General features: G+C 36.7%; 1 protein-coding gene and 1 long non-coding RNA gene across 15 annotated transcripts in view, besides 1 other annotated feature; one reads left to right on the top strand and one right to left on the bottom strand.

The window, feature by feature from the left end:
• HECTD2-AS1 (HECTD2 antisense RNA 1) overlaps positions 1-13647 on the top strand; it is a 304499-nt gene that overhangs the window by 173549 nt on the left and 117303 nt on the right. The gene's annotated exons all lie outside the window — the stretch shown is intronic.
• The window catches only part of HECTD2 (HECT domain E3 ubiquitin protein ligase 2), a 105586-nt gene that overhangs the window by 76909 nt on the left and 15030 nt on the right, over positions 1-13647 (bottom strand). For all 14 annotated transcript variants that reach the window (NR_145526.2, NR_104291.3, XM_047424658.1 and 11 more), the window contains exon 2: positions 12502-12631. Coding sequence is in view for 6 of the 14 variants with exons in the window: in NM_001284274.3 (NP_001271203.2) it covers positions 12502-12631 (130 nt within the window). In the remaining 8 variants the exon portion in view is untranslated. The remainder of the gene's footprint in view (positions 1-12501; positions 12632-13647) is intronic.
• Positions 2393-2593: a silencer, noted in NCBI's record as "peak1048 fragment used in MPRA reporter construct". NCBI's record gives its function as "represses an SCP1 promoter by STARR-seq MPRAs in K562 erythroleukemia cells {active_cell/tissue: K562}" and the evidence as "EXISTENCE:reporter gene assay evidence [ECO:0000049][PMID:32103011]".

Here is a 13647-nt window from a genome sequence, read left to right as displayed (position 1 = left end):
TTTAAAACCACTAGTTTATATCATTTCTTAGATCACTTTCATCTCTACAACTATTCAAGAACAAAATGGAAAAGACTCATAAACCTACCAAAAAGTTTTAAAATTCTCTAATAGTGTGACCTAGATAACGGCCTGTAATAGAGAAATTCAGGAAGTATGGAAACTTACAATGTATATGTCATCTATTATAAAAAACTGATTTTTAATTATGAATTTCTACCTTAAACACAGTATAAGAAAATATCTGAAAACAACAAAAAAAACAAAACAACCAAAAAAAAAAAAAAAAAAAGAACAACCATCCAACCAAACTTGTCTTCTTTTTCTGGATCTACATTATGTCTGTACATTATTTTATACTCCCCCCAACAAAGGATGGAGTCTAATTCGCCTCCCTTTGAATATAAGCCAGGCTTAATGACTCCTTGCTAATCAACAAAAGTGGCAGAAGTGAAGCTGCATGAGTAGGTTATTAAAAGGCAATAACATTTGTGCTTGGCTCTCTCTTTTGAGATGTTTGTCTTTGGAATTCCGTCACCATGCTGTGAGGATGCCAAGAGCCACCTGAAAAAGGCCATATGTAGGTGTTTCATCTAAGGTCCAAGCCTACAACCAGCATCAATCATCAGGCATGGGAATGATCAAGCCTTCAGGTGATTCCAGCTCTCAGTATTCAAGCCCCCTCAGCTAATGCTCAGGAGAACCAAGATGAGCTTTCCCCACTGATCTCCACACAAATTACATATTTGTGAATAAAATAAACATTGCTGGTATTTTAAGCCACTAAGTTTAGGGGAGGTTTATTATTATATATTCAATAGATACTGGAACATGTATAAACAGAAATCACGTAATCTCTCAGAATCTCATACTCCTTATCTGTTAAAGAAACAAAGGGAGGTTTTTCAGGTTAAGATGTCAGACTGAGCATATTTTAATTCCTCCCGAAATTCCACTTTAACTACAGTAAAAGGTTCTGTTGTTGTTTTAAAGATATAAGTCTATAAGGACAAACAGAACAGGTGAAATAGCCATAGCCTCAAAGGTAAAAAGAAGCAGAGATGTCAGTGAAAACTGGTTTAGTAGACCTGAGACAGCTAAATACCAAGCCCCAATAAGGAAATCACAAAGTAACTGATTTATACTGCAGAATTCTTAAAGGGCACAGAATCAGGAACTGGGAATATAACGGGGAAGGCAAAAATAAGAACTATGGTAAAAACTGAATAAAAAGTTAGCTCCCTAGATCTCTTCCTTGCCACTACATGACTATCCCTCCTCCATCCCTACTCAAGCAAAAGTCTGGAAATTCCTATTATTTGGAGAGGGTAAAAAAGAGGTGCTTTGGACTAGGGAATGCCAGACACAGATGAGGTTATAAAAACTATACCAAGACATAGTGGCAGTAAACAACTAATTACTGAATACTAAGTGATTGACCAATCAAGAGAGACTCCCAATCTCCTTCTCCCCACAAACAGAATACTTACCCTGCCCCTCCCTCAGACAGAAGACTGGAAGACACTTTCGTGGGGAATCTGATTAGGCTAAGAAGAAATAACTAAAGACACGGACATCAGGGTTCCTCAATCAACAGGCTACCCAAATCGCCTCATAATAAAGCTTATGGTTAACAAATCTTATTTATGCCTCACCTTCCAATCATCCATCTTGGTTCCCTCATTAACCATGAGCAGAAAATCAAAGACTACCAAACTTCTGATGACAGCCTCCAATATGGAGGACAGAGACCAAAACAAACAGACAAAAGCAACGTGGAAGAATCAGACACCATGCAGGGAGAAGAAAAAAATTTTTAAACTTATTACTAGCTTTCTCAGAGGAATAAAAGATAGTATAACCATGAAATAAAAGGGTACTATAAAAAAGAAAGATTCAGAGGGGAAATAATTCTTCACAATTAAAGGCATAACAGCAGAAGTAAGATACTCAATAGAAGAGTTTTGAGAATATTCCCTAAATCATAAAGCAAAAGAGAAGAGAAATACAAGTAAAAAAGAAAATTAGGAGTCCAGAAAGTCTGGCTTTTGAATAACAGGAGATCCAGAAAGAAAGGATAGAAAATACAGAGGAGAGAAAATCATCAACAAAATAATTCAAGAAAATTTTCTGGAATTTAAGGACATGAAGCTGCTAGACCGAGTATATAGCACAAGGGATGAATACAAACCTCACACCAAGGCACAACACTGTGCAATTTCAAAACTTCCAAGATAAGAGATGGCTCAACAAGCTTCGAGAGAGACAGAGACAGAGGTAGAGAGACATCTGATTCAAAGGAACAGGAATCACAGCGGCCTGAGGTGGCAGCTGCACTCCATACAGACTGGAACTGAGTGGCCTGAAATTTAGCAATGTTGATACTTGTCATCACCAAGACCCTGACTGCCTTTGTACTCTTTTTTAACTGAAGACAGAATGTACAGATGAGCCTACTTCTTATTCCTGGCTTGCCAGCGGGGTCATGAAGTCCCTGCTCTCCTCTTTCTCTGCTGACTCAGCTGAGGACACTCAGGTCACCTCACAGATTGAACCTATAGTACTCTTGACAGTTGGAGGAGTCTTTCTGACAGACATCTAATAGTCTCAACTGCAGCTCTGCCACATGTCCCAAGAGGTGTCCTTTGCTTCTCAGGACTCATTCACACAGAGGGAACTATAAAAAAGGGAACAATAGTTAACCTCTGGACAGAAGGGTAGGGCAAAGTGATTGGGGTGGGTTCCCTGGGGCTTTTATAGTGCCAGTAGTGCTCTTGATTGCTGAGTTCTTGGGTTTTAATTTTATTATTAAAATGTATAAAATGTTGATTATAGTCTTCTGCATGTATAACACATTTTGGATTTTTAAAATGTGTGCCATCAGTTGCTAAGAGTAATGTTCCTGCCCCATGATACCTTCCTCCACAACTAAACTGCTCATCTACATACATTGTCATAACATGTACTGAACTTCCTAAGATATAGAATTACTTTTTAAATGCTTTCATACATATCTTTACAACTTCATAAGGTAGCTTCTTTATCACCCAGTTTTACAGATGAGAAAATAAGCACAGAGAGGTTAAATAAATTTTCTAGGATTGTACAGTTTGTATGTTACGGAGCTAGAATTCAAACCCAGCCTGAGAAGCTACAAAACTCATGTTATTCCCACTATTGAACAATGCCAAACCTTATACTATGTATAAAAACAAATAATAAAATGGAAAACTAAATTCACATGGGTGTAGGAGCCATTAAACTATAAGATGTCCCAAAAAAAGAAGAACAAAAAAAATTCAACAAGCATCAAGCAAAATCAATATAGTGGAAAATTAACCATTTAAATAATAAAACGTAGGTGTAAAATGGCACTTTACGACTCAAGATGCCCAATTTCCTCATTCTATAAATGTTTTGACAAAATAAAAAACAAGAGGGCTAAGTTATCTGTTTAAGGTCACATTGGTGGTTACAGGTAGTAGTTGAGTCAAAGACTCAGTTCTTAACTGACAACGTGTGAGTACCAGCCAGGTAATAATAAATGAGCTACAAGTTGAAGGATCCCTGTATCAGTTTAGTACTTTGGTACTGCTTATGACTGCTTCAGTAGTGGCAGGCAGCTGAAACAAGGAAAGACCAGAATGGATTAGTCATAACAAGTGGTTTTTACATCATTGTCTATAGGATGACTTTTCTGAACATTTGGCAAAAAATAAAATTGAAGGTGGGAGAGAGAAAGGAAGAAAGACAGGAAAAAAAAAGTCTGACTCACAGGACTTTAGCCATCAGAGCCAAATAAAGCAAATACATTCATTAGATTTTAGAGATGTACTTTTTACTAAGTTCAATGATGTGTGTTTATAAAACTGTAATAAAAGAAAGGGTGAAATGTTCTTTTATGAGCCTAGTTATAGAAATATTTGAAAGTCCCCTCTCTATAAAGTTATCTTTAGTGAAACAGATGTCTTAATCTGGACATACCTTACAGAATTTATTACAGCCTTGAGATGGGTTTGACATTCCAACAGGGTAAACATGCCAGAAACCCAGAAAAAGTGCCTCCCATTCATTACCTTATTCAGTAAATTATTAACTAAGTATAGACTACATGCACCACGAATGCTAGGTCCTGGAAACAAACAGATGGATTCAAACTCAAGGTGACTGTACATGCATTTACTCCTGGGCCCAACAACCCCACATCTAGAAATATCCTATAGATAAACCTGCAGATGAACAAAGCGACATATGTACAGAGTCATTCATTGTGGCATTGTCTGCAATAACAAAATAATGAACACAAATCATTTATTTTAATAGGAATCTGAGTAAATAAATCCAGTTTACTTACTTCAATACAAATGTACATCCAATACAATGGAATATATTTGTAAAAAATAATAAAGAAGTTTTCTATGTACTGATACAGAAAGATATCTAGAATACATGAACTGGACAAAAAGCAAGGTTCTGGACAATGCATACATAGTTACCCACCAAAGGTGGAAAATGAGAATATTTATTTATATTTGCTTGCATTTGCCTAAAAAACCACAGGAAAGAATACAAGAGATAACAGAAAAGAGAGTGAAAGTGAGATGTCTGAAACATATTTATTTTTATAGTTTTGACTTTTGAAACAAATAGATGTGTTACCTATTCAATAAAAAGTTATCTTTAATATAAAAAAGAAAAAATAACTCTTCCCATAGGAACAGTTAAGAAAAGTCAAATCCAAGTTACCCACTCTGACCTAGGGAAAGATCTTAGAGATTTAGTCTAAAATCAGTTCATTCTTTAAGGAAACCTGTAGATGGAGTTATTTGGGCCTTGAAAATACTTCTTCTAAGGTAGGAATCCTTACGTGGCAAGTCCTTTGCTTTCCACAAATAGCAAGCCCTGTGCTATGCTTCTTCTAACACCTGCCCCTCAAGTTGCTCTTAGAGAAAATGTAAAACTCTGGAGTACTTGACCTGTGAAGATCACAGGACTCACACACAGATCCAATTGCGATTTCAGCTGAAGACCACTTGTTCTTCCCTGGCTATTTCAGGGTGACAAAGATCACAGTATGCTTTTCTCTAGGGGGTGTAAAAACTACAGAATTCATTATGTCATATCAAGGTTCTACTAAACTCATGAAATGGCCTGAGCTGGCTATGAGCTTGCTCTCAAGGTAAATGTCAGAGTTCATAGCTACTCTTTTCTGAACTACCTAGGCTGGAAAGATTTTTTTTTTTAAAGTTTGGGGAAGAATTGCTTCATTTCTTTTAAAGATATTCTGTGCTACTTAAAAATGTTTCAATTAAGTGTGAAAGGGGCATCATAACTTTAGAAAGGAAGACACAAGAGAGTAAGGGAGGATGTAGTGCTAACCTCCTCTCCTCTATCATTTATCATCCAGGTTGTTTCTCTGAAGAGATATCATCACTAGCAGCTGTTACAGTAGGTAAAACTCCTACACTTCTCACTTATTTTTAAAAGGACAGTCAATTTGACAGGCATACCTAGTCATGTGATCCACAGGGAGGAAAGGCATTCCTCAGCTGTTAGGTGAACCCACGCTGGGTTTTTGCAGTTTCCCTAATATCACTTGAAGATCAGACGGGCAAACAAGCTGTTAGAGAATACCCAGCATAGGTCCTACTACCAGAGAAGAGGGAGGAAAATTATAATAACTGCCAAGAATGAGGCATCTTTGAAAAAACAATCTTATTGGCAAGTAAGAGAGGCTTCCCAAAACATCAAGAAACTATAAACATGCTTACATTTGGAAGATGTAGCCTAACTTTCTATTCAATAAAAGAATTACTCTGCAGTGCCCTTAACAAATAAACTCCATGCCACACCTGAATTCAGGTGGCATCCAGATAGAACAGCTAGGAAAATTCAGTACCAGGAGTTCTAATAAGATAAAGGAAGTCTGCTAAAAGGTCTACTCATCGAGTCAGAGTCATTTATGCAAATACCCCAACTTCGCAGTTCCTCACCAGTAATGGAACAAAGCTGGACGGAGAATGACTTTGAAGAGTTGAGAGAAGAAGGCTTCAGACAATCAAACTACTCCGAGCTACAGGAGGAAATTCAAACCAAAGGCAAAGAAGTTGAAAACTTTGAAAAAATTTTAGAAGAATATATAACTAGAATAAGCAATACACAGAAGTGCCTAAAGGAGCTGATGGAGCTGAAAGCCAAGGCTCGAGAACCACGTGAAGAATGCAGAAGCCTCAGGAGCCGATGCGATCAACTGGAAGAAAGGGTATCAGTGATGGAAGATGAAATGAATGAAATGAAGTGAGAAGGGAAGTTTAGAGAAAAAAGAATAAAAAGAAATGAACAAAGCCTCCAAGAAATATGGGACGATGTGAACAAACCAAATCTGCGTCTGATTGGTGTACCTGAAAGTGACGGGGAGAATGGAACCAAGTTGGAAAACACTCTGCAGGATATTATCCAGGAGAACTTCCCCAATCTAGCAAGGCAGGCCAACATTCAGATTCAGGAAATACAGAGAACTCCACAAAGATACTCCTTGAGAAGAGCAACTCCAAAACACATAATTGTCAGATTCACCAAACTTGAAATGAAGGAAAAAATGTTAAGGGAAGCCAGAGAGAAAGGTTGGGTTACCCACAAAGGGAAGCCCATCAGACTAACAGCAGATCTCTCGGCAGAAACTCTACAAGCCAGAAGAGAGTGGTGGCCAATATTCAACATTCTTAAAGAAAAGAATTTTCAACCCAGAATTTCATATCCAGCCAAACTAAGCTTCCTAAGTGAAGGAGAAATAAAATACTTTACAGACAAGCAAATGCTGAGGGATTTTGTCACCACCAGGCCTGCCCTAAAAGAGCTCCTGAAGGAAGCACTAAACATGGAAAGGCACAACCTGTACCAGCCGCTGCAAAATCATGCCAAAATGTAAAGACCATCGAGACTAGGAAGAAACTGCATCAACTAACGAGCAAAATAACCAGCTAACATCATAATGACAGGATCAAATTCACACATAATGATATTAACTTTAAATGTAAATAGACTAAATGCTCCAATTAAAACACACAGACTGGCAAACTGGATAAAGAGTCAAGACCCATCAGTGTACTGTATTCAGGAAACCCATCGCACATGCAGAGACAGACATGGGCTCAAAATAAAAGGAGGGAGGAAGATCTACCAAGCAAATGGAAAACAAAAAAAGGCAGAGGTTGCAATCCTAGTCTCTGATAAAACAGACTTTAAACCAAAAAAGATCAAAAGAGACAAAGAAGGCCATTACATAATGGTAAAGGGATCAATTCAACAAGAAGAGCTAACTATCCTAAATATATATGCACCCAACACAGGAGCACCCAGATTCATAAAACAAGTCCTGAGTGACCTACAAAGAGACTTAGACTCCCACACATTAATAATGGGAGACTTTAACACCCCACTGTCAACATTAGACAGATCAACGAAACAGAAAGTTAACAAGGATACCCAGGAATTGAACTCAGCTCTGCACCAAGCGGACCTAATAGACATCTACAGAACACTCCACCCCAAATCAACAGAATAGACATTTTTTTCAGCACCACACCACACCTATTCCAAAATTGACCACATACTTGGAAGTAAAGCTCTCCTCAGCAAATGTAAAAGAACAGAAATTATAACAAACTGTCTCTCAGACCACAGTGCAATCAAACTAGAACTCAGGATTAAGAAACTCACTCAAAACTGCTCAACTACATGGAAACTGAACAACCTACTCCTGAATGACTACTGGGTACATAACGAAATGAAGGCAGAAATAAAGATGTTCTTTGAAACCAACAAGAACAAAGATACAACATACCAGAATCTCTGGGACACATTCAAAGCAGTGTGTAGAGGGAAATTTATAGCACTAAATGCCCACAAGAGAAAGCAGGAAAGATCCAAAATTGACACCCTAACATCACAGTTAAAAGAACTAGAAAAACAAGAGCAAACACATTCAAAAGCTAGCAGAAGGCAAGAAATAACTAAAATCAGAGCAGAACTGAAGGAAATAGAGACACAAAAAAACCTTCAAAAAATTAATGAATCCAGGAGCTGGTTTTTTGAAAGGATCAACAAAATTGATAGACCGCTAGCAAGACTAATAAAGAAAAAAGGAGAGAAGAATCAAATAGATGCAATAAAAAATGATAAAGGGGATATCACCACTGATCCCACAGAAATACAAACTACCATCAGAGAATACTACAAACACCTCTACGCAAATAAACTAGAAAATCTAGAAGAAATGGATAAATTCCTCGACACATACACTCTGCCAAGACTAAACCAGGAAGAATTTGAATCTCTGAATAGGCCAATAACAGGATCTGAAATTGTGGCAATAATCAATAGCTTACCAACCAAAAAGAGTCCAGGACCAGATGGATTCACAGCCAAATTCTACCAGAGGTACAAGGAGGAACTGGTACCATTCCTTCTGAAACTATTCCAATGAATAGAAAAAGAGGGAATCCTCCCTAACTCATTTTATGAGGCCAGCATCATCCTGATACCAAAGCCGGGCAGAGACACAACCAAAAAGGAGAATTTTAGACCAATATCCTTGATGAACATTGATGCAAAAATCCTCAATAAAATACTGGCACACCGAATCCAGCAGCACATCAAAAAGCTTCTCCACCATGATCAAGTGGGCTTCATCCCTGGGATGCAAGGCTGGTTCAATATATGCAAATCAATAAATGTAATCCAGCATATAAACAGAACCAAAGACAAAAACCACATGATTTTCTCAATAGATGCAGAAAAGGCCTTTGACAAAATTCAACAACCCTTCATGCTAAAAACTCTCAATAAATTAGGTATTGATGGGACACATTTCAAAATAATAAGAGCTATCTATGACAAACCCACAGCCAATATCACACTGAATGGGCAAAAACTGGAAGCATTCCCTTTGAAAACTGGCACAAGACAGGGATGCCCTCTCTCACCACTCCGATTCAACATAGTGTTGGAAGTTCTGGCCAGGGCAATTAGACAGGAGAAGGACATAAAGGGTATTCAATTAGGAAAAGAGGAAGTCGAATTGTCCCTGTTTGCAGATGACATGATTGTATATCTAGAAAACCCTATTGTCTCAGCCCAAAATCTCCTTAAGCTGATAAGCAACTTCAGCAAAGTCTCAGGATACAAAATCAATGTACAAAAATCACAAGCATTCTTATACACCAATAACAGACAAACAGAGAGCCAAATCATGAGTGAACTCCCATTCACAATTGCTTCAAAGAGAATAAAATACTTAGGAATCCAACTTACAAGGGATGTGAAGGAACTCTTCAAGGAGAACTACAAACCACTGCTCAATGAAATAAAAGAGGATATAAACAAATGGAAGAACATTCCATGCTCATGGGTAGGAAGAATCAATATTGTGAAAATGGCCATACTGCCCAAGGTAATTTATAGATTCAATGCCATCACCATCAAGCTACCAATGACTTTCTTCACAGAACTGGAAAAAACTACTTTAAAGTTCATATGGAACCAAAAAAGAGCCCGCATCGCCAAGTCAATCCTAAGCCAAAAGAACAAAGCTGGAGGCATCACGCTACCTGACTTCAAACTATACTACAAGGCTACAGTAACCAAAACAGCATGGTACTGGTACCAAAACAGAGATATAGATCAATGGAACGGAACAGAGCCCTCAGAAATAACGCCACATATCTACAACTATCTGATCTTTGACAAACCTGAGAAAAACAAGCAATGGGGAAAGGATTCCCTATTTAATAAATGGTGCTGGGAAAACTGGCTAGCCATATGTAGAAAGCTGAAACTGGATCCCTTCCTTACACCTTATACAAAAATTAATTGGAGATGGATTAAAGACTTAAATGTTAGACCTAAAACCATAAAAACCCTAGAAGAAAACCTAGGCATTACCATTCAGGACATAGGCATGGGCAAGGACTTCATGTCTAAAACACCAAAAGCAATGGCAACAAAAGACAAAATTGACAAATGGGATCTAATTAAACTAAAGAGCTTCTGCACAGCAAAAGAAACTACCATCAGAGTGAACAGGCAACCTACAAAATGGGAAAAATTTTTCGCAACCTACAAAATGGGAGAAAATTTTCGCAACCTACTCATCTGACAAAGGGCTAATATCCAGAATCTACAATGAACTCAAACAAATTTACAAGAAAAAAACAAACAACCCCATCAAAAAGTGGGCAAAGGATATGAGCAGACACTTCTCAAAAGAAGACATTTATGCTGCCAAAAAACACATGAAAAAATGATCATCACTGGCCATCAGAGAAATGCAAATCAAAACCACAATGAGATACCATCTCACACCAGTTAGAATGGCAATCATTAAAAAGTCAGGAAACAACAGGTGCTGGAGAGGATGTGGTGAGACAGGAACACTCTTACACTGTTGGTGGGACTGTAAACTAGTTCAGTCATTGTGGAAGTCAGTGTGGCGATTCCTCAGGGATCTAGAACTAGAAATACCATTTGACCCAGCCATCCCATTACTGGGTATATACCCAAAGGACTATAAATCATGCTGCTATAAAGACACATGCACACGTATGTTTACTGCGGCACTATTCACAATAGCAAAGACTTGGAACCAACCCAAATGTCCAACAATGATAGACTGGATTAAGAAAATGTGGCATATATACACCGTGGAATACTATGCAGCCATAAAAAATGATGAGTTCATGTCCTTTGTAGGGACATGGATGAAATTGGAAATCATCATTCTCAGTAAACTATCGCAAGGACAAAAAACCAAACACCGCATGTTCTCACTCATAGATGGGAATTGAACAATGAGAACACATGGACACAGGAAGGGGAACATCACACTCTGGCGACTGTTGTGGGGTGGGGGGAGGGGGGAGGGATAGCATTAGGAGATACACCTAATGCTAAATGACGAGTTAATGGGTACAGCACACCAGCATGGCACATGTATACATATGTAACTAACCTGCACATTGTGCACATGTACCCTAAAACTTAAAGTATAATAATAAAAAAAAATACCCCAAGTTCAAGTTGGGTTAAGTCCAGATTCCACAAGACTGGCACAGATGAGAAGGAAGCACACATTGATGGAAGCTCAAATAAGTGGACCATATTGAGAGTCAATATGGCCAATCAAAAACTTGTAGGCATACGAGTTGGCGAACTGACTTCAGAGATGAAGATATTAGTATAGAAATAATGGAGTAGATAGAAATTAGAGTGTGAACTAAAAGGTGCCTCCTTAGGGCAATATTGGCGTGACGGAGGGGTGTGTGTGTGCTTGTGTGTGTGTGTGTGTATGTTTGTATGCAAATAAAAGAAAGAAGTTATCAAAGGTAAATGTTCAAAAATGAGGCAATAAAAATACTAACCTATAAGAATGTAGAATAGGTCTAGCACTGGCTTAGAGTGTCAAACAGAAAATCTCTATGCAAGAATAATTTATACCACATGCAGCTTATGGACATGGGTGATTTACCAGAAACTATGTCCTTAAATATTTCTAGGTTTGTTTTGTTTGGTTAGGGTGTGAGGGGCATTTAAACCTTTGAAGGTTTGTTTTGTCTTGTTACAAAGTGAGTGGCACTTAGAAGTATTTAAGTAATGTACATTTCCCGTGATAAAACAATATAGAGTTACATAAGAAACATTAATAATATATACACAATTCTACCTCCCTGAGGAAACCATTAACAGATCGGTAAGCACCCCTCTATGCTCAAAGTACAAAAGGATTCCCTGCACTTAAAAACGTTGGATTCATATTCTACCTATAATGATGTAACTTACTTTTTTCATTTTACAATGTATTGTGGGCATTTCTCCCAGTCACTTTACATACATATCATATTCTTCTTAATAGAAGCATAGTATTTGCAGTATAGATTAACATAATTTAGTTAACTAATATAGATTGCTTCCAATATCACTACTATAAATAATGTACATTTTTTCCATTTATCTTTTTACCTATGTTATATCGTTATAACATCTATAAGCTTTTCCATTCAAACTACCTTTTGGTCTTTAGATAACAGTTTTATAGCTTTCTCCAAATAGATTTTACACATTTCCTTTTAGGTTTATTTTTATGTATTTCATATATTTTCCATAAAGTCTTCTAATTGATTATTGCTCAAATATGGGATATCCATTACATATTTGTATACATACATTTATAAAATATAGAAAATATATATGTATATTATTTTATTTATAATGTAGCCACCTCTTTAATCAAATTTGCTTATTATTCACGAGTTTTGTATTTCATTCTCTTACTCTAGGTAACATTCACCTAAAAATAAAGATTTTGCTGCTTCTGGTAAATACGTATACAGCTTCTTTTTGTTGTATTAACTAGACCTATCAGAACAATGCTGAATAATTAATGTCTACTTTTAAAAATAATTTAAAAATATACTTTTAGCCAAAATATATTTAAAAATTATTTACCATTCTTGATGTTAGGGAAAACAAGATGTGCAGGTGAACTTCTGTTTTCAGCAGCTTCTTTCTTCGGGCTAACAGCTGAAATAAAACTGCTGAAAGTGGAAATTTGGCCTTTGGCTCCTCTGTCCAAACCCTGAAAACAGAAAAGTTAACATTGCAGTATACTTCCTACTACCTATAAATTATTTTATTGCAAAAATCACAAACATTTATAAGAGATTTTAATTTGATGACGAGTAGATAATAGATAAAAACGTATATAAATTTGACTTACCTTTTCTAGGACTTAACTGTCTCACATATAAAACAGCCTTATTATCTATCCAATTACAAATTGAGAAGTTTGGAAATGGGAATAACAACAGTACCTATCTTATAGATTTACTGTAAGATTTAACAGAGATAATGCACATAATTAGCATTGTTCCTTGCACATTATACACCCTCCATTAATGTTAACTACAATTTTAACTGTGTATTTAAATAATACTATTTTTGTGACCTCCATAAATATTATTTTTAATAAATAGGATGCATGTGATACCTTACAGGCTGATTCACTGAAGGCTATCCTCTCATTTGATGCAACTTTACAAGTTCAGGTAAAAAGATAACCCTTTAGAGTTTATGTTTTTCTAAGCACTGTGATTGGGCATACCAGAATTTTTTTTTAGAAGTAGTGCTAAGCACTTGGGATCCTTAGGCACAGGTAATAGCAATCTTCTAAAACATGGAATCTATCCATTATCACATCTTTCACAAAATAACAACTCTATAAAATTCATAGTACTTATTTAATTAATCAGTATTTTGTAATTATACAAAAAATCTTCACACATACTTTGAAGCGCAAGATTAAACTATAGAGCTGCCTCAGGGCTTATTCTCAGCTCTCTGGGATCTTTTTATACTATGTTCCAATTTCCAGATGCTTAAGAGAATACAGTAGTTAACTTCTTTTAACATCCACTTTTAAATTCTAAAGGTAACGTCTTCACTTTCACAGTAGAGGAAGAGTTTCTTTTTCATCTCCTCCTTCTTAATTCACCAGACTGATTGCCATTTACCTTTTCAGAATTCACTCATATAATATAGCAGAAGCATTTATGCTCACTAAATTCCCCATTCTCTTGCAGTTAGGTAGAGCCA

This window comes from Homo sapiens, chromosome 10 (assembly GCF_000001405.40).
Source record: "Homo sapiens chromosome 10, GRCh38.p14 Primary Assembly".
Classification (NCBI taxonomy): Eukaryota; Metazoa; Chordata; class Mammalia; order Primates; family Hominidae; genus Homo; species Homo sapiens.
The sequence above is the reverse complement of the archived record's forward strand: the minus strand, read 5'-3'. Positions and strand labels throughout refer to the sequence as shown.